Source organism: Homo sapiens, chromosome 1 (assembly GCF_000001405.40).
Source record: "Homo sapiens chromosome 1, GRCh38.p14 Primary Assembly".
NCBI lineage: Eukaryota > Metazoa > Chordata > Mammalia > Primates > Hominidae > Homo > Homo sapiens.
In genome coordinates, this window is record NC_000001.11 from 185,205,794 (window position 1) to 185,227,791 (window position 21,998).

The 21,998-nt window shown below is 36.8% G+C and overlaps 1 protein-coding gene and 1 pseudogene across 15 annotated transcripts in view; one reads left to right on the forward strand and one right to left on the reverse strand.

Annotated features, from left to right (window-relative positions):
• SWT1 (SWT1 RNA endoribonuclease homolog) overlaps window positions 1-21,998 on the forward strand; it is a 134,722-nt gene that overhangs the window by 48,734 nt on the left and 63,990 nt on the right. For all 15 annotated transcript variants that reach the window (XM_005245271.3, NM_001105518.2, XM_047423246.1 and 12 more), the window contains 3 exons: window positions 832-970; window positions 8,714-8,862; window positions 16,056-16,243. In XM_005245271.3, the coding sequence (XP_005245328.1) occupies window positions 832-970; window positions 8,714-8,862; window positions 16,056-16,243 (476 nt within the window). The remainder of the gene's footprint in view (window positions 1-831; window positions 971-8,713; window positions 8,863-16,055; window positions 16,244-21,998) is intronic.
• On the reverse strand, window positions 20,954-21,979 carry RPL5P5 (ribosomal protein L5 pseudogene 5; annotated as a pseudogene).

The following is a 21,998-nucleotide window of genomic DNA, read 5'->3' on the forward strand; positions in this document are numbered from 1 at the left end:
AATCATCAGAAGATACTAGGAGTGTTGATATCTCATAGTAGAGATAAGGAAAGTAATTGTATATATGTGAGTGATTCAGAAAAGGAAGTGCTGACATCTTATAGAATTAAATGATCAATGTTTTTAATAGGCATGTCTTTGCAAGAGTGTAACAAGTGACAGTTGTCACTGACATCTTTTTTCTTCTCTTTTTTTTTGAGATGGAGTTTGGCTGGAGTGCAGTCGCGTGATCTCGGCTCACTGCAACCTCCTCCTTCCGGTTTCAAGCTATTCTCCTGTCTCAACCTCCCAAGTAGCTGGGAATACAGGTGTCTGCCACCAGGCCCAGCTAATTTTTGCATTTTTAGTAGCTATGGGGTTTCACCATGTTGGCCAGGCTGGTCTCGAACTCCTGACCTTGTGATACGCCCACGTCGGCCTCCCAAAGAGATAGGATTACAGGCATGAGCCACCGAACATCTTTTTTCTATACTGATTTTCACCCAGTTACATGAAATAATTAGATTAATTTTCTTATAGCGATGACTGCGTTGACAAGTAGATTGAAGGACCTTAGCTGATAAAACTATGTTTCCTCTGATTAGATGTATGTTTTTCTTTTTTGCACAGTTTCTGAAACTATTAAGATTAATACTAACATGAGTTTTACAAAAGCAATTTGCAATGGAATTAGCATTTTAATGTTATGATTGACTTTACATCTTTTAATTTAAAAAGAATCCAACTAATTATATTTTGCTCAAAATATATGTAGGAATTCCTAAATAGGTACTTTTTAATAATTGGAATAATAAATCTAGAGATGTTAATTTTTTTCTACATACTCTTTAGATCCTGTACCTGAAACCACCATGGACTCTACTACATTTACTACAGTGCTTTAAAAAACATTGGTTGGCTGTATTTGGATTAGTTATGGAAAAGAACTTGCTTTTAACTATTGAGAGCCTATACAAAAATCTCCGTAAAGGTATGAATCTTTTATTTTTCTCTTTAGCAGTGTTGTATTAAGTCAGACTAGCAGATATATTTCCTGGGATGTGAAGATAAATTAATGAAGAATTTGTTAATTAGTTCTTAATCATTTATACTTCTAATTTATAAAGGTATTTGTGGAAACTGGATGAACAGATGCAGCTCATAGAGCTATGTATTTGTGGAAACTGGATGAATAGATGCAGCTCATAGAGCTTGTGACTGTAAATGGTATTGTTGATATTTCAAAATATTGTGAATATATAATTTTTGATGATGTCTACTTTGAAAACTTTTAAAACCATGTTTTACATTCTGTTCAGATACACCAATAGAATTAATTAGACTTTTTTCGTTTCTTACAGTGTTTAACACAAACTTTGAGCACATTTCATGTACTAATTTTCAGAATAGTGTGTCAAGGTTTCTATTTAAACTATATAGATAAGGAACAGGAAACCTTTGGCTTTGGTGTATAGTGAATTTTAGAACTGGAAGAGACCACAGTGAACAACTTAGTTGTTTTTTAAACTATATTGAACAGAACTTTTGGCTTCTTGAAGTGCCTCTGCTGCCACAGATGGATGATGGAAAGATTGAAGGGGGAGCCCAGTAGGTGGTGCCTTTGGCCCTCAACCCCAACTTTAGCCAGAGCAGCTTTTAAAAATTTCTTTATGGAGATTCTATATAGGACTTGGAAAAAAGTTTATCTGCTGTGAGGAAAAAAATGTGAGAAAAACTGATCTAATGTTATTAAAGCCTATATTTTATGATCAAGTAAACTAGTCTTGAAACAGTAAGTGACTTGTTCAAATAACTAGATTTGTCTTGTTATGCCTTTAAAAGGCAAAGACTGGGCATGGTGGCTCATGCCTGTAATCTCAGCACTTTGGGAGGCCAAGGTGGGTGAATTGCTTGACCCCAGGAGTTCAAGGCCAGCCTGGGCAACATGGTAAAACTCCCTTTCTAAAAAAAATACAAAAGTTAGTCAGGTGTGTGGTGCATGCCTGTAGACCCAGCTACTTGGGAGGCTGAGGTGGGAGGATCATCTGAGCCTGAGAGGTAGAGGTTGCAGTGAGCCAAGATGGTGCCACTGCACTCCGGCCTGGGCAACAGAATGAGACCCTGTCTCAAAAAAACATATATATAATATAAATAAGCAAAGTGTGATTATTATTAAAGGTTCAGTTGGTACTTTGCTTTTTTCAAACTCCTCACATGAAGTGATGTGTTTATTATTTCATATATTAATTATATCCAGCGTACTTCTGAAGCATAACTCTGATGGCTTCTAACAACCTGAGTACAAGAGGGCCGTTAAATAATTAAATTATTAAAGGCACCAAGGCCAGATAATGAAGAATAGGAGATGATTAATCATGAATCATATGCAAATCATTATTGCAGCACTTGAGCCCAGATTCTAACCTTAAAATCTTCATAGAAGCTAGGAAAAAAAGGAAAAAAATTGCATATTCTATGATAGGTGTACCTTATTCTCTGTCTTTTCCTTGAAGTGTAAACTCTTTGAAAATGAGTTGTTCTCAGAGGAGTAAAGGGTAGAATAGTGATTACCAGAGGATGGGGAAGGTGCAGTGGTAGGGGATGATAAGAGATTGAGCAATATAAAAAGCTACAGTTAGATAGGAGGAATAAGTTCTGGTGTTCTGCTGCATTGTAGGATGACTAGAATTAACAGTTACGTATTGTGTATTTCAAAATAGCTGTAAGAGAATATTCCTATCACAAAGAAATGATAAATGCTTAAGGTCATAGATATGCTAATTACCCTGATTTAATTGTTACACAATTTATACATATGTCAAAACATCACATTGTACTCCATAAATATGTACAATTATTATGTGTCAACCATAAATAAAGTAAGTCGATAAATAAATATTTCCCCTAGGGGATTTAAAGCACCTAGTCATTTCCTTATGTCTCATCCATGTTAGATGTTCGATGAATATCTTTTTTTTTTTTTTGATCTCCTAACATGATGCATTTACTCAGGAGTAAGGAAAAAGGATTCTAATCTAGGATGCATAGCTGTGGCAAGCCACAAGTGCACCTGAAGAGGAGAGAGTAAGGGAAAGCTTTTATTGGCAAAAAGAAGTTCATACAAGCTGCTTAAAAACAGAGTTTATTGGTGCCTGAGGCTCAAAGTCAGAGTTGGCATTAGTTCATTGGTGGAGACACTGTTACTGGGCAAAAGTTTTTTCAAGAACGTCTTATCTGAACTGCTGTGGTCCTAAAGAATGTCTAGTGATAAACCCGGTTTAGAAATATGTGCATACATGCAAGACGTGGATCATGAAAAGCATGAGATGCATGAAGGACATGGAGGAATTTCTTGTGGGATTTTTTTAAGAAAATCCTTGAGACTGTTGTTATCTCAGAAATGCAAGCATGAGCTCCCCTCCTTCGTGCTATCCTGGCTCCAGTTTCTTATTTATTTATTTATTTATTATTATACGTTAAGCTCTTGGGTACATGGTGCAGAACGTCCAGGTCTGTTACATAGGTATACACGTTCCATGGGGGTTTGCTGCACCCATCAACCCATCATCTACATTAGGTATTTCTCCTAATGCTATTCTGTAGTCCCCCACCCCCTGACAGGCCCCAGTGTGTGATGTTCCCCTCCCTGTGTCCATGTGTTCTCATTGTTCAGCTCCCACATATGAGTGAGAACATGTGGTGTTTGGTTTTCTGTTCTTGTGTTAGTTTGCTGAGAATGATGGTTTCCACTTTCATCCATGTCCCTGCAAAGGAGATGAATTCATCCTTTTTTATGGCTGCATAGTATTCCATGGTGTATATGTGCCACATTTTCTTTATCCACTCTATCATTGAAGGGCATTTGGGTTGGTTCCAAGTCTTTGCTATTGTGAACAGTGCCGCAGTAAACATACATGTGCATATGTCTTTATGGTAGAATGATTTATAATCCTTTGGGTATATACCCAGTAATGGGATTGCTGGGTCAAATGATATTTCTAGTTCTAGATCCTTGAGGAATCACCACACTGTCTTCCACAATGGTTGAACTAATTAACACTCCCACCAACAGTGTAAAAGCATTCCTATTTCTCCACATCCTCTCCAGCATCTGTTGTTTCTTGACTTTTTAATGATCGCCATTCTAACTGGTATGAGATGGTATCTCATTGTGCTTTTGATTTGCATTTCTCTAATGACCATTGATGATGAGCTTTCTTTCATATGTTTGTTGGCTGCATAAATGTCTTCTTTTGAGAAGTGTCTGTTCATATCCCTCGCCCACTTTTTGATGGGGTTGTTTTTTTCTTGTAAATCTATTTAAGTTCTTTGTTGATTCTGTATATTAGCTGTTTGTCAGATCGATAGATTGCAAAAATTTTCTCCCATTCTGTAGGTTGCCTGTTCACTCTGATGATAGTTTCTTTTGTTGTGCAGAAGCACTTTAGTTTAATTAGATCCCATTTGTCAATTTTGGCTTTTGCTGCCATTACTTTTGGTGTTTTAGTCATGAAGTCTTTGCTCATGCCTATGCCCTGAATGGTATTGCCTAGGTTTTCTTCTAGGGTTTTTATGGTTTTAGGTGTTATGTTTACATCTTTAATTCATCTTGAGTTAATTTTTGTATAAGGTGTAAGGAAGGGATCCGGTTTCAGCTTTCTGCATATGGCTATCCAGTTTTCCTAACACCATTTACTTGGACAAAATTCAACAGCCCTTCAAGCTAAAAACTCTCAAGAAACTAGGTATTGATGGAACGTATCTCAAAATAAATAAATAGCTCTTAAGCTGTGTATGACAAACCCACAGCCAATATCATACTGAATGGGCAAAAGATGGAAGCATTCCCTTTGAAAACCAGCACAGGACAAGGATGCCCTCTCTCACCACTCCTATTGAACATAGTATTGGAAGTTCTGGCCCGGGCACTCAGACAAGAGAAATAAATACAGTGTATTCAGTTAGGAAAAGGGGAAGTCAAATTGTCTCTGTTGCAGATGACGTGATCGATATTTGGAAAACCCCATCATCTCATCCCAAAATCTCCTTAAGCTGATAAGCAACTTCAGCAAAGTCTCAGGATACAAAATCAATGTGCAAAAATCACAAGCATTCCAATAAACCAAGAACAGACAAACAGAGAGCCAAATCATGCGTGAACTGCCATTCACAATTGCTACAAAGACAATAAAATACCTAGGAATACAACTTAAAAGGGATGTGAAGGTCCTCGTCAAGAACTACAAACCGCTGCTCAAGGAAGTAAGAGAGGACACAAACAAATGGAAAAACATTCCATGCTCATGGATAGGAAGAATCAATATAGTGAAAATGGCCATACTGCCCAAAGTAATTTATAGATTCAGTGCTATCCTCATCAAGCTACCATTGACTTTCTTCACAGAATTGGAAAAAAATACTTTAAATTTCGTATGGAACCAAAAAAGAGCCCACATAGCCAAGACAATCCTAAGCAAAATGAACAAAACTGGAAGCATCACACTGCCTGACTTCAAACTATACTACAAGGCTACAGTAACAAAAACAGCATGGTACTGATACTAAAACAGATATATAGACCAGTGGAACTGAACAGAGGCCTCAGAAATAACACCACACATCTACAACCATCCAAATATCTATTTTTATAAGTTACCAATTTTTTAAGGAACGGCACTTTCCTGTCATTGCCTTCAGTTGTAGAAGTTGTTTATTAGGGATATGATTATATGAAGGACATGGAGCAACATATTGGACATCTCTCCAAAGCGGTTTTATAAACAACAGGTGCTGGAGAGGATGTGGAGAAATAGGAACACTTTTACACTGTTGGTGGGACTGTAAACTAGTTCAACCATTGTGGAAGTCAGTGTGACGATTCCTCAGGGTTCTAGAACTAGAAATACCATTTGACTCAGCCATCCCATTACTGGGTATATAACCAAAGGACTATAAATCATGCTGCTATAAAGACACATGCACACATATGTTTATTGTGGCACTATTCACAATAGCAAAGACTTGGAACCAACCCAAATGTCCAACAATGATAGACTGGATTAAGAAAATGTGGCACATATACACCATGGAATACTATGCAGCCATAAAAAATGATGAGTTCATGTCCTTTGTAGGGACATGGATGAAACTGGAAACCATCATTCTCAGCAAACTATCGCAAGGACAAAAAACCAAACACTACATGTTCTCACTCATAGGTGGGAATTGAACAATGAGAACACGTGGACACAGGAAGGGGAACATCACACTCCAGGGACTGTTGTGGGGTGGGGGGAGTGGGGAGGGACAGCATTAGGAGATATACCTAATGTTAAATGATGAGTTAGTGGGTGCAGCACACCAACATGGCACATATATACATATGTAACAAACCTGCACATTGTGCACATGTACCCTAAAACTGAAAGTGTAATAATAATAAAATAAAAAAAATAAAGCATGTAGAATCTCTTTTCATATCTTTTACCTGGGTCATAATTTAGTTGATCTTTTAAAAGAGAAAGTCCGTAAACTATGTGTGATCTCAAAGTTAGTGTAAAAAATGAGGTGTCTAGTTGCCATCTTCCATCTGTTTTTCCTGGCAGGGGGGTCTGCTCTTAGACGCAGCTGAGAGGTGGTAGGTGGCAGCTCTAACTGCCATTAAGGAGAGAAGTGAAGATGTGATGACTGTATCTTCTGCTGAAAAATCAGTTTTGTGATCATTATAGTTTATTGGTCTTTGATCTCGAAGAATCTGATGCCTAACGTTTAATGAGTTATGAAGAATATGTCATGGGATTATAAAAGTACCTCTTGCCAGGAGTTCATTGCCAGCGTGGCCAACATGGTGAAACCCTGTCTTTACTAAAAATCCAAAAAAAATAGCTGGGCGTGGTGGTGGGTGCCTATAATCCCAGCTACTCGGGAGGCTGAGGGAGGAGAATCACTTGAACCCGGGAGGTGGAGGTTGCAGTGAGCCGAGATTGCGCCATTGCACTCCAGCCTGGGCAACAAGAGTGAAACTCTGTCTCAAAAAAAAAAAAAAACTTCTTGCTGTAAGATAATTTTGAATGAGAAAAATCACAGTTTATGTTCTTGTGTACTATCTTTTAATAATACCTTCAGCTGTTGAATTATATATTTGTTTAACTTGAGAATACCACGCATGTATCCTTAGATTAGTTCATAGAAAATTGTGTGGAAAATGACTAGTAACTTTTATGACTTTGTTACCCATATTAGCTTTAAATAATTATTGGCCTTATATAAGCATTAGACTATTTCATTCATGTAGATTTCTTTTTTTGTTGTGTCTGTATACTGGATTTATTATTGTTATTACCCTTTTCCTCATAATCTTAGGAACTTTTGTAAGACAGAAATAAAATGATTAATTCATATATGTAAGCCTCATTAAACATATGTTACATTGGAAAAGCACCCTTAAAAGAAGTTGTGTCCAATTATATCTTCCTCAGGGGATTTACGTAGTTCATCACATCTACAGTCTGTCCTGTGTGTAGCATCTCTCATTACCCACAGGAATTTAAACTAGTCATTGGCTTTAAAAAGAAATGAAAGTTTTCCTGTAAGGAAATACATTGGCTTGCTTTATTATTATTTTTTATATTTTTGGATAAAGGAGAAGCCAGAGGCTTGGCTACAACCATTACATTAGATTAGAGTTTCTGAATATTGTGGAATTAATTATTAAGATATAGTTTTTATTTCACTTGACCCTTCAGGATTTCACAAGCAAGTTCTTGTGTAAGTGATACAGAGAAACTCCTTATTGTTTTTTAAACTCATAGTGCCATTGAACAGCCATGCTGATATTTCAGAATACAATAGAGTCTCTGAAACTGTGAACATTAAAACAAAAAGTAAACAACAGTATAGCATGGTTATTTTGAAAACTGTTAGGTAGCATTCTGCTTTAATAATGGAAATAATTTTTTCTGTTCTGAGTTTTATGATATTACTTAATTTTATTGTTTATAACTTTTGAAATTTTTGAAATTATTGTCACCAGCTTTCCCAACTAGTTTGAGAAGTTAATGTAATTAGTTTTAGTTCCTTGAGATAAAATTGTTATACCTTTAAATTATTGTTTGTAGATTTTCTCACTTTTAATTTACAGGAAAAAAATTCTGCAGGCTTCTTTTGCTTCTCACTGTTGCCCAAACTTTTTTTCTCTCCTGAAGTTGTGTTGTACATATAGAGATAACTCATAGTTTTCAATAAACATAGTATTGAGTTTCATGCAATGGAGTTGAAGATAAATCACTATGTAGATAGCTGAGGTGATGACGAGAGGTACCATATATAACTGACATGCTTACCAGTGTAGTCTCACTCTTCTGATCTCTCCACAGTACTCTTATGTGAAATCACCTCAGCATTGAAATCTGTGGTTTGACTTGTTTCTTTGGTGATTTTCTCTTTTTTCTGGGGAGTGTAATATTCTTTAACTTTACTTTTACTTTGAAGTTGACCGTGCTGACAGAACTCCTGAAATCTGAATTCAGAATACCAGAATCAACTCAAAGGACTTTATCTATAACTAAATCTATTTAATTATTGCTTTTTGTACCAGAGGGATAACTTAGGAGTGGCATATAGGTATAAATGTATACTCTTTTTAAATTTCAAAATTAATATTAGTGTTCCAAAGACATTTTTATGATGTATACTCATTCTTCCATATTTTTCTGTCTTAATTTTCTGTTACCAGCTAATAAGGCAGTGGATTTTACAACAGTCAAATTCTTGCTTCAGGATTCTAGAAGTTTGTTACATGCTTTCAGTACAAGGTCAAATTATGATGGTATTCTTCCACAGACCTTTGCTCAAGTAAACAACCTCCTTCAGACATTTGCAGAGGTAAGATGCCTTTGGAATGCCAGTTAGAGTAGCTAATTATACATGTTCTGAAAATGTGTTTAGCAGACAACAGTAGGTAAAGGATAATTTAATTCTAACTTATTCTAACATACTAAAGGCGTTAAGTAAATGTTAAGTGAATTGAATACAGAGTAAGCAACTCTAACAAGTTATAAAACCCATACCTCCTTTTATGGAAGCAGTGTCACAGCAGTTGTTCTTATTTTATATTATTTTCACTTATGGATGGAAGAAAGCTATGCATGCTATTTGACTGTTCATTTACAGTGCCCTAGGCCAGTGGATCTCACATACATCAAAAATACCTAGGAAATTGTTTTAAACATACAGATGTCAACACTGTCTGAAACCCTATTGAATCTATTTTTTGACAGTGTTACTTGGTAATGTTGTTGTCCTTGTTTTACTTTTTATTTTGAAATAATTTCAAACTTATAAAATGGTTACAAGAGCAGTACAAAGAATTCCCATATATATTATTTACCCTGATTCTCCAAATGTTAATATTTTGTCACATTTGCTTTATTGTTTTCTTTCTCTACCTACCCACCTGTCTGTCTGTCCATCTATCTACCTATCTATATTTTTTTCTGAGCTATTTGATAGTATGTTGCAGATAGGATGCCCTTTTTCCCCCAGGTGCTCTTTTTCCCCAAGATATTTCCATATGTATTTTCTAAAAATAGGGATATCCTATGTAACTACAATATAATTAATCATGAAATTAACATTGATACAATAGTTATCTGTGAACCTTATCCAAACTTTGCCAATTTGTGAAGTTTTTAACAAGTTTCATGTGATTCTTATGCAGCCATCTTAGCTGATGCCTTTTTATCTCTTTTAAACTTAACTCTCTAATTTTTGTACCCAGTAATACAGACTTATTTTTTTGACACAGGGTTTTACTCTGTCACCCTGGCACGATCAGGGCTCACTGCAACCTCCACCTACTGGGCTTAAGTGATTCTTCCACGTCAGCCCCCCGAATAGCTGGGTCTACAGGCATGGCACCACCACACCTGGCTAATTGTTCATATTTTTAGTAGAGGCAGAGTTATGCCCTAATACCTAGGCTAGTCTTGACTCCTGGACTCAAGCAATCCTCCTGCCTCAGCCTCCCAAAGTGTTGGGAATACAGGTGTGAGGTACTGTGCCTGGCCTCTAATTTCAAGTCTAGAAAAATCTGAGAGTTTTATGTAGCATAAACAGCTCAAAAAACCTCAGTTATCACTATTACTAAAAGAGATATTAATGGAACTTTTATCCAGTATAGATATTATGTTCTCTTTTTTCTCTGAGGAACTGAATTGTCCAGGTTTTTCTCATTGATTTTTCATAGTCAGATAGGTCCCCTGCCTATGAAGTAATCAAAGGATTAGATGATACTAACATTAATCATAGTTGATGAGGAAAGCACTTCCTTGCTAAGAGAATACTTACTTCATGGAGTAAAGGAAGCAGCTTTTTAAATAAACTGAGTGGAAATATGTGATCATTCTTGAGGAAAGAATTTATTTAAGGGGTGATATGATCTTTTGGTTTGAGATGACCAAAACATTGGTAGTTTTATTTTTTTAATGGCAAGCGTGATTTTTAGAACTATTAGTAGGAAAAAATGGGCCTAGGGATTTAGAGGGTTATAGCATGAGTATTGTACCTTGATTGTGTTGGAAAAGATGTGTTCTCCTTTCCCGTCACAAAATTGAGTCCTAAATCATATCCTTAGTGAATAAAATGTGGTGAACAGATGGAAAGTGCAAGATACTTAAAGTCTTAACAGTCTTTTAATTAAGATTATTGAGAATAAAACAAAATTTAGGATTCATTGAAATAAAAACAATAATGTGTAGTTTTTAATCCTCTTCATCGATAAAAACCTACAGATGGGAGGTACCATGAAAATATGATGTTAAAATTTTGTATTGTTTGTCAGATAATGATATGCCTACTACGTATATGTTGCCCATTGCATACTTAAAAGTATTGACTTGACTGGGCATGGTGGTTCATGCCTGTAATCCCAGCACTTTGGGAGGCTGAGTTGGGTGGATCACCTAAGGGCAGCAGTTCAGGACCAGCCTGGCCAACATGGCAAAACCCTGTCTCTACTAAAAATACAAAAATTAGCCAGGCATGGTGGCACACACCTGTAGTCCCAGCTACTTGGGAGGATGAGGCAGGAGAATTACCTGAACCCAGGAGGCAGAGGTTGCAGTGAGCTGAGATCGTGCCACTGCACTCCAGCCTGGGAGACAGAGCAAGACTCCATTTCAAAAAAAAAAAAAAGAAAAGAAAAGAAAAAAACCAGTGACTTGTTAATAAATTATTTATTTCTGGTTCTTAAGTTTCATTTGCTACGTTAGCAAGAGATTCATGAAGGCGAGTAGCAAAGAATCTAGCATCCTAATAGTGCTTTCCCCTCAACACTTGGCTTTAGTGTGATTACTTGAAACCATCCACGCTGTTTCCAGGATTAGAACTCTGAAGTGTTGCACCTTTATTTTTGTGTTAGAAACAATTCATTGAGTAAACGAAGAACTTTATGATTTAGTATAGTCCTTTAAAACAGGGGTCCACAACCCCTGGGCCATGACTGGTATTGGCATAGCAGGAGGTGAGCAGCGAGCAAGCAAGCAAAACTTAATCTGTATTTACAGTTGCTCCCCATCACTCACATTACTGTCTGAGCCCCACCTTTTGTCAGATCAGCAGTGGGATTAGATTCTTATAGGAGCATGAACCCTATTGTGAACTGTGCATACAAGGGATCTGGGTTGCATGTTCCTTATGAGAATCTAATGCCTGATGATCTGTCACTGTCTCCCATCATCCCAGATGGGACTGTAAGGTCAGGGCTCCCACTGATTCTACATTATGGTGAGTTGTATATTCCTTCCCTCCCTCCCTCTTTCCCTCCCTCCCTTCCTCCCTTCCTCTCTAGAGTTCTCTGTTGTTGCCCAGGCTGGAGTACAATGGCACGATCCCAGCTTATTGCAACCTCCACCTCCCAGGTTCAAGTGATTCTCCTGCCTCAGCCTCCCAAGTAGCTGGGATTACAGGCACGTCCTACCACACCTGGCTAATTTTTGTATTTTTAGTAGAGACAGGGTTTCACCATGTTGGCCAGGCTGGTCTGGAACTCCTGCCCTCAGGTGATCCACCCACCTTGGCCTCCCAAAGTTCTGGGATTACAGACATGAGCCACTGCACCCAGCCAATTATTTCATTATATATTACAATGTAATTATAATAGAAATAAAGTGCACAATAAATGGACTGTGTTTGAATCATCCTGAAACCATCCTCCCGCTTACCCGTCCATGGAAAAATTATCTTCCACAAAACTAGTCCCAGTTGCCAAAAAGGTTGGGGACTGATGCTTTAAAATATACTTTTAACAGGAGTTGTTTTATAGAATGTATTAGATTTGATATATGTCTTATATATTTGGTCATGTCTCAGTAACTTGAGCAACAAATAGATTACCTCCAAAGATATGGTATCTCCTAGTAACTGTAAAAACTACCTAATCTTAATTTATTAAGTGTAGAAAATCAGGAAGAGAGGAATATTCATTATTTGATTGCTTTGAGAAACTAAAATGGAGATAAACTAACTTTATCATTTTCCAGATTTTTTTTTGGGAGACAGGGTCTCGCTTTGTAGCCCAGACCTGAGTGCAGAGTTGTGATCATAGCTCATAGCTCTCTGTGACCTTGACCTCGTGTCAAATGATCCTCCAGCCTCAGCCTCCTGAATAGCTGGAACCACAGGCATGTGCCACAATGCTGAGCTAATTTTTAAATTTTTTTGTACAGACTAGGTCTCACTTTGTTGCCCAGGTTGGTCTTGAACTCCTGGCCTCAAGCAATCCTCCCGCCACAGCCTCCTAAAGTGCTAGGATTACACGCATGAACCGTCATGCCCTGCCTTTTCCAGATTTTCATGTAAGAGGGGAGAAATAGGAAAAGGATACGTACACTTTCGTTTTATGGGCCTTCTAACCACTAAAAAAAATAGGACTTGCTTTTTGCTAAGATGATAGAGTAATTAAAATCAATCTTGTTAATAAGCTTCAGACTTACATGCCTCAGGATCCTGAGTTGTGGTATTTTTAACCTCTAGTTAATTAAACTCTCTGGACCTTAATTCTCTCTTTTGTAAAATGAGTGTAATAATAATGCTGGCCTTAGAATTGTCACGTGAATTAACAAGTTAATATTTGTGGAGACCTTAATGTCTAGCATGTAGTAAGTGCTATGTAGTATTTGATAAAGAAATCCACTTGCGTAGTATATACACTACTATTTAAGAGCTAAAGAAAAGAGGCATTAGGTAAATGCTGGGCTGTATTTTAAATATATTTGGTGATAAAAAATTATCTCAGGATAAAATGTCTTTTCATTTATGTCTATTCATTAAATTCAGAATTTAAGGTAAACAGACAAAAATGGGAAGAATCATCTTTTTAACTTTTCTTCTTGCCCCAGAAGATAAAGAAGGGTAACATTTACTTTTACAGATGGAGAGAGCTCATAACTTCATTCTAGTCAGATTGCTGAAGGTCAAATCCTGTTCATGCCTTTTATCATCTGTGTGACCTTGGATGAGTTAATTAACCTTTCTATGCCTCAGTTTTGTTGATTATAAGATATGGACCATCATAGTATCTGTTTCATAGGGTAGTTGTTAGGATTAAATGAGCTAATAAATAGAAAATTCTGAGAAAGTACATAACAAATGCTCAATAAATATTAACTGTTACTACTGATAGTATTGGAAATTTTATTTAAAAAAATTTTAATATGTATGAAATTAGCAATCCATGAAGCTAATCCTTTGAAATAATCATTTTATCACAGGGAACTTAAGCCTAGAGAAATGGAGTGATTTTATTTAAGTTTACAAAGCATATTTATAGTAGAGCCAAGACCAAAAAACTAAGTTTTTAAACTTATAGTTAAAATTTTGTACATTCTGTTAGGTACTTTTCCTTTTTTCCTCTGCATGATATATATATTTTTAAAAACTGGAATCAGTAGTTTATCTCTTTTACTGTGCTTTAAACTATGCTTAGATCTTTTCCATTCTTAAATACCGTACTTTTCACTGGCCATTCTGTTTACTGCACTGGCCTTCCATCAACTACCAAACTTCTTAAAAGAGCAATTTATGGCCAGGCATGGTGGCTTATGCCTGTAATCCCAGCACTTTGGAAGGCCAAGGTGGGCAGATTGGTTGTGCCACAACCAGTCTGGGCAACCAACCAGCCTGGGCAACATGGCGAAACTCTGTCTCTACAACAAATAAAAAAAATTAGCTGGGCCTGATGGCTTGCACCGCTGGTCCCAGCTACTGGGGAGGGTTGAGGATCACCTGAGTCCTAGAGGCAGAGGTTGCAGTGAGCCGAGATCACACCACTGCACTCCAGCCTGGGTGGCAGAATGAGACCCTGTCTCAAAAAAAAAAAAAAAAAAAAAAAAAAGAGCAATTTCTAACCATTGTTTTCATTTTTGCACTCTTTTTTTTTTGTTTTATTTTCTTGTCTCTTTTTCTTTTCTTTCTTTCTTTTTTTTTTTGCCAACTGCACAAGGCTAGAGCACTCACTTACCTGTTAATCCTTTACAAGTAGAATTTTATCTCCACACTCCACTGAAAGAAACTGTAGGTTGTCATTTGCTTTCTGATTATCAAAATTACCCTTTTCTCTTTCTTATTCTTCTTCTCAGTCCTTCTTCAGCACTTGGTGGTGTCTATCCTTTCTTTCCTGAAACCTGACTCCCTTGGCTTCTATTGTTATTGCATACTGATTCTTCCCCTCTTATTTTTGCTAGTTCCTACTTTTCCCCCTTCAGTTTGTCTATTTCATCTCCTAAGACTTGTCTCCATGAGAATGATTCTTAACTGTATATTTAAGCTGCAGATCTACATATCCAATTACTTGCTAACTATCTTTACCTGGATAACTTTTTATACCTCAAACTCAACATATACCTAAAAAACAAACATATTCTGTTCATCCAAAGAGGATTCTTATTTGCAAGCAGCCTCTCTTCTTAGCTTTACAACAAGAGGCCATAAAATTTGGAAACATAGACAAATACACACTACAGTTTATTGCTACTACACTATAATATGTGATATGTTCAGTGAATTGTCCCTCATTAGCAACGCATAAGTTAATGTGATCTTTAAAATTGCAGTGATTGTGGAACATCAAATAGTATTTCCATCAATTCCTGTATATGTATGTGAGACGTATTGCTTCCGAGTATTTGTTTGACTTTTACTGAGTAAAACTGTATACATTCCTCTGGGGAAGTAATCAAGAAGGTTCAGTCTACTTAGTGTGCATGTGTGCGTGCACACAGACACACACACACACACACACACACACACACACACTCTTCTAGATTTATGACCACCCTAAGTTCCTATTTATTTGTATCATTCTTCTAACACATCTAGGTTAAAGAATGTCTTGGGGTCTCCCTCACTCCCTGGATCTAGTCTTTGGCCAAGTCTTTATATTTCTTGCATGCATTTTATTTTTCTTTTCATTCTGCTGCCTTTTTATAGCTAATCCATGTTCTCAGGACTCTCCTCTTGGATTATTTCAGTAACTTTCTAACCAGTTTTCTTGCCTCCGCTTTCTTCTGTTTTAGTTTATCTTAGAGTGCACTTCTGAGTATATCACTGCCTAAGTTAGAAACCTTCAGTGGTTCACCATTACCCATAACCTGAGGTTTAAATTATATCTTGATTTTTTTTTTAAACAACACTTTGCAGCCCTTTACATTTTCTTAAAACTGGATTGTAAGGTGCTTCAAGGCTTGATTGTACCTCTATACTTTGTATTCTAGGGGTCCTCTATCTCTTTCAGTACTGCATATGTAGAAGTATTCAAGCAGTATTCTTAAATTGACATTAGCATGTTAGCGAAACAAATCATTATAAGTAGATTGGAAATATTGTTTGATTTAAATGGAAAAGGAAAATATCTTTTCTAGCTCTGATGCTTTTCTGGGAATATTATGTACATAATAAAAGAAAAAGAATTGCCACCACTTCTCAGAAAGCTAGAACATTTGTAAGCACAGTTGCCACTCTCTTTTTCTCCTCTGCAAATGAAGAACTAGCTGCATTTTATGTAATTCTTATTTCCCCAGGTCAAGACAAAACTTAAGCCAAATTCTTCAGAAAACACAGTGACTAAAAAGCAGGAAGGTACTTCATTGAAGAATTCTCATAATCAAGAAATCACTGTTTTCTCGAGTTCTCATCTTCCCCAACCCAGCAGGCATCAAGAAATCTGGTCTATCCTAGAGAGTGTTTGGATTACAATATATCAGAACAGGTACTAAATTTGGGGGAATTTTTTTTTAGTTATTTTTTAAATTGACATTATAATTGTACATATTTACAGGGTACAATTTGATGTGCAATTTGACGTTTCAATAGATATATGTGATATATAATCAAATCAGGCTAGTGAGCCTGATGAATACCTCATGCATTTTAAGTGTTAAGTGAAAAAAAAAAGCTTTTTTCACTTAACATGATATTCTCCAGGTTTATCCACGTTGTCACAAGTGACAGAATAACGTTCTTTTTTATGGATGAAAAGTATTCCATTGTGTATATGTACCACATTTCCTTTATGCATTCATCCATTATTGGACACTTAGGTTGATTTCATATCTTGGCTATTGTAATGCATTTATCATGTATTTTTTCATGAGGTATTCATCAGCTCATGCATTTATCATGATCTTCTTTGTGATAAGAACATTTAGGCCGGGCGTGGTGGCTTACACCCATAGTCCCAGCACTTCGGGAGGCAGAGGTGAGTGGATCACTTGAGGTCAGTAGTTTGAAACCAGCCTGGCCAACATGGTGAAACCCCATCTCTACTGAAAAAAGAAAAGTACAAAAATAAGCCGGGCGTGATGGCGTGTACCTGTCATCCCAGCTGCTCAGGAGGCTGAGGCAGGAGAATTGCTTGAATCTGGAAGGTGGAGGTTGCGGTGAACTGACTGTGCCACTGCACTCCAGCCTGGGTGACAAAGCAAGACGCCATCTCAAAAAAAAAAAAAAAAAAAAAAAAATCAAAAGCCTCTCTTCTAGCTATTTTGTAATGTGCAATACTTTACTTTGAGCCATAGTCACCCTACTATGCAATAGAACACCAGAACTTATTCCACCTATCTAATTGTAACTTTGTACATGTTGACCAACCTCTCCTCATTCTCCCATCTCCGTTCTCTAGTGACCACTGTTCTACTCTGCCTCTGTGAGATAAACTATTGTATATAGTGCTACAGCAGACACAGGAGTGCAGGCATCTCTTTGACATACTCATTTCATGTCCTTTGGATGTATACCCAGTAATGGGATTGCTGGATCATACGGTAGTTCGGTTTTTAATTTTTTGAGGAACCTCTGTACTATTTTACATAATGGCACCACTAATTTACAAATCTCACTAACAGTGTATAAAGTGTTCCCTTTTCTGCACATCATTGCCAACACTTGTTTTTTTGTTTGTTGGTTTTTTTGAGGCAGGGTCTCGCTCTGTCACCCAGGTGGTAGTGCAGTGGTATAATCATGGCTCACTGCAGTGACCTACTGGGCTCAAACGATCCTCTCACCTCATTTTTTTGATTTTTTAATTTCTTATAGAGATGATATCTCACTATGTTGCCCAGGTTGGTCTCAAACTCCTGCAAACTCCTGGGCTTAAGCAGTCCTCTTGCCTTGGTTTCCCAAAGGATTACAGGTGTGAGCCACCGCACCTGGCCAACACTTTTCTTCTTTCTGATAATAGCCACTCTAACTGGAGTGAGGTGGTGTCTCAGTGTGATTTTGATTTGCATTTCCCTGATGATTAGTGATGTCAAGCATTTTTTATATACCTGGTGGCCATTCAAATGTCTTCCTTTGAAAAATTTATATTAAGGTCTTTTGCCCATTTTTTAAACTTTAAGTTCAGGGGTACATGTGCAAGTTTATTTTATTTGTAAACTTGTATCATGGGAGTTTGTTGTACAGATTATTTCTTCACCCAGGCATTAGGCCTAGTACCCATTAATTGTTTTTCCTGATCCTCTCCCTCCTCTCACCTTCCACCCTCCAATAGGCCCCAGTGTTCATTGCTCCCCTCCATGTGTCCATGTGTTCTCATCATTTAGCTCCCACTTATAAGTGAGCACAAGCGGTATTTGGTTTTTTGTTCCTGCATTAGTTTGCTAAGGATAATGCCCTGTATACACCATGAAGTATTAAGCAGCCATAAGAAAGAATGAGATCATGTCCTTTGCAGGGACATGGATGGAGCTGGAGGCCATTTATCCTTTTGCACATTTTTAATTGGGTTATCTTGTTTTCTTGCTGTTGAATTAAGTTTCTTACATATTCTGGATATTAATACCTTGTGAGATGTATAGTTTGCATATATTTTCTCCCATTTTCTTGGTTGTCTTTTCACTCTGTTGTTTCCTTCACTGTGTAAAAGCTTTTTCCCAATGTGTGTTCTTGGTACCCATGTCCAAAATCAGATGGCTTTGGGTATGTTAATTTACTTCTGGGCTCTCTATTCTGTTCCGTTGGTTTATGTGTCTGTCTTATGCCAGCCAGTACCATGCTGTTTTGGTTACTATAGCTTTGTGGTATATTTTGTTGTTTGTTTTTTTCTTGGTTAATTTTTGGTTGTTTGTGGTATATTTTGAAATCAGGTAGTGTGATGCCTCCAGCTTTGTTCTTTTTGCTCAGGGATTGCTTTGGCTATTCAAATTTGGCATGTGAAATTTATGATTTTTTTTTGTTTCTATGAAGAATGACACTGGAATTTTGGTAGAGATTGCATTAAATCTGTAGATCACTTTGGAAAGTATGACCATTTTGATGATATTAATTCTTCCAATACATGAACATGAGATATCTTTCCATTTATTGTATCCCCTTCTATTTCTTTTATCCATGTTTTAGAGTTTTCAGCGTAAGATCTTTCACCTCCTTGATTAGGTTTACTTTTTTGGTAGCTATTATAAATTGAATTGTTTTCTTGTTTTCTTTTTCAGATAGTTCACTATTAGCATATAGAAATGCTATTGACTTTTGTATGTTGATTAGTATCCTGCAACTTTATTGAATTCATTTATTATCTCTAAGACATTTTCGGTGGAGTCTTAAGAGTTTTCCATATATACGATCATGTTGTCTGTGAACAGGGATAATTTGACTTCCTTCTTTCCAATTTGGATGCCCTTCCTTTCCTTTTCTTGCCTAATTGCTATAAGACTTCCAGTACAATATTGAATACAAGTGGTAAAAGTAGGTGTTCTTGTTCCTTCAGTATGATGTTAACTATGGGTTTGTCATATATGGCCTTTATTGCATTGAGGTATGCTCCTTCTGTATCTAATTTTTTGGGAGTTTTTAATCATGAAGGGATGTTGAATTTTGTCAAATGGTTTTTCTGCATCTATTGAAATGATCCTATCATTTTTGTCTTTGATTCTGTTAATGTGGTTTATCACATTTATTGATTTGTGTATTTTCAACCATTCTTGCATCCCTGAGATGGATCCCACTTGATCATAGTGAACTTTTAAATGTGTGGTTGGATTCAGTTTGCTAGTATCTTGTTGAGAATTTTCGTACCTGTTTATCGAGGATATTGGTCTGTAGTTTCATTTTCTTGCCGTGTCCTTGTCTAGTTTTGAAATTGGTAATGTTGGCCTTGTATAATGAGTTTGCAAGTATTCCTGCTTCTTCAATTTTCTAGAATAGTTTGAGGAAAATTGGTATTAATTTTTCTTTAAATATTTGTTAGAATTCAGCAATGAAGCCATCAGGTTCCAGAATTTTCACTGATGGAAAATTTTATTTAAATATTTAGATACCCAAATATTTAACATTGTGTTACAACTGCCTGCAGTATTCAGTACAGTAATATCCTGTACAGATTTGTAACTAAGGAGCAATAGGCTATACCATACAGCCTAGATGTCTAGTAAGTCATACCATCTAGGTTTATGTAAATACACTCTAAGATGTTTGCATAACAATGCAATTGCCCAGCAGTGCATTTCTTAGAATGTATTCTTATTGTCTTAAGTGACACGACTGTATTACTGTTATTCATTGTAAGATTTTGTTAAAAGAAGATAAATACTTTTGTTTAAAAGGAAGAAATACTTCTATTTAGTGTGCATAAACATAAACTATCTACTGGCTTTATAACCTGTCATGCTAAAGAAATAACAATAAATGGCATGAGGACTAACAATAATATTTACAAATTTATATTTTCATATAAAGCAAAGGTTTTTTTTTGTTTCAGTCTTAACATAGTTTTAAGGTTTTGGCTAATCAGACATTCTGGTTAGCAGAAAGTTACCATATATCCCTGACAGGGATAACCACTTTCAAAATAAAATAGATTAAAACTATATCTAAGATATTTTAGCTGTCCTTTCTTAGAGTTCACCTATAATGTACATGCATTTGTGTTGGATGCTAGGGAGTTTTGCGTAGTTTCTGGATAATATACTCTATGTAATAGCATTTCAGCAAGACAAAAATGCTTATATTGCCTTATTAATACATATTTATTTAGGCCTACTTTACTGTTTCTCAAGCCTGGTTATGTACCAGACACATTATAGAAGTTTTTCGACATAATCGCTCATGGGCCTTTCATGTAAAGATGCTTATTTGGAAGTCTGGTAGGACCTATGCACAAATAGTTATATAAAACTATACCAGAGCGAGGCTGGGCATGGTGGGTCATGCCTGTAATCCCAGCACTTTGGGAGACTGAAGTGGGAGGATCACTTGAGGCCAAATGTTTGAGACTAGCCTGGGCAACACAACAAGACCCTCTCTTTAAAAATCAGTTGCAGGTTTGTAGCTCATCAGGTCAGGTTTTTGGTATCTTTTCTACTTACAAGGAATTTAGTTAAGTGTTAGATACTACTGATTCAAATTAAAACAAACAAAAACAAACAAACAAAAGCTTCCCTGCTATTTCTCATTTAAGCTTCTGAGACTTTTTTTTTTTTTTTTGCTGTCCATAAGTTTATTGTCTTTATCTGAAAAATCCTTATAGAAAATTGTTTGGTTTAGCTCTCAGCAGCCCGCTCCTGAGCTCTGAGGAAGCTTGCCTTCTTTTGAGCTACCCGATCTTTCTTCTGAGCAATGGACATTTTGGGACAGTTCCACCTCTTCTTTTTAACTTCTTTCTGCGGCGTCTTTTCATAGACTGGATTCTTTTGTATAGCAGCATGAGCTTTCTTACACATCTCCTCCATCATGTCTGGAGTTATGCTGTTCTTTATGTATTGAGAGAACTGTTTCTTGTAAGCATCTTTATCTTCTTCCATTAAATAGCACATGTAATCTGCAACATTCTGGCCCATGATGTGCTTCCAGTGTACTTCTGCATTAAATTCCTTGCTTTCAGAATCATAACCAGAGAATTGTTTGGTACTATGAGGGATAGACAAGCATCCATCCACAGCTCCCTTCAGGGTGCTAAAAACTTTATTGCCAGTGGTAATTCTGGCAAGACCTGCATCCAAATAGCAGGTAAAGGCACCTGGCTGACCATCGGTGCTCTCCACATTGTATTCATTGCCAGTCTCTTCCACTTGGCTTTCATAGATCTTGTCCATGCCAAACCTATTGAGAAGCCTGCGGGCCAGCAGCAGGCCAGTACAATATGCCGCAGCATAATTTTTCAGGCCAGCCTTCATACCATTATTTTGGCAGTTTGTGTACATATGCTGTGCAGACTATCATATCCCTCTCTATACGAGCAGAAGCAGTCTGACAAATGATATCTCTGTTTGTTACATGAACTGTCATCCTGTATTTGAGTGTGTTGTATTTATTTTTATCCTATTATCACCAAGCGTTTCCAAGTATAGTAATCATTTTTACCTTCTCGTCGTCTTCTACATTTCACTTGGTATCTCTTAAAGTAGGCCTTATTCTTAACAACTTTAACAAACCCCATCCTGCAGAACAGAGACCTGCGTCTGCAGCTTGACAGAGACCTGCAGGCCCAGCAGCTCTAGCGGGGGAGAAAGGCGAGACATTTTTAAAAA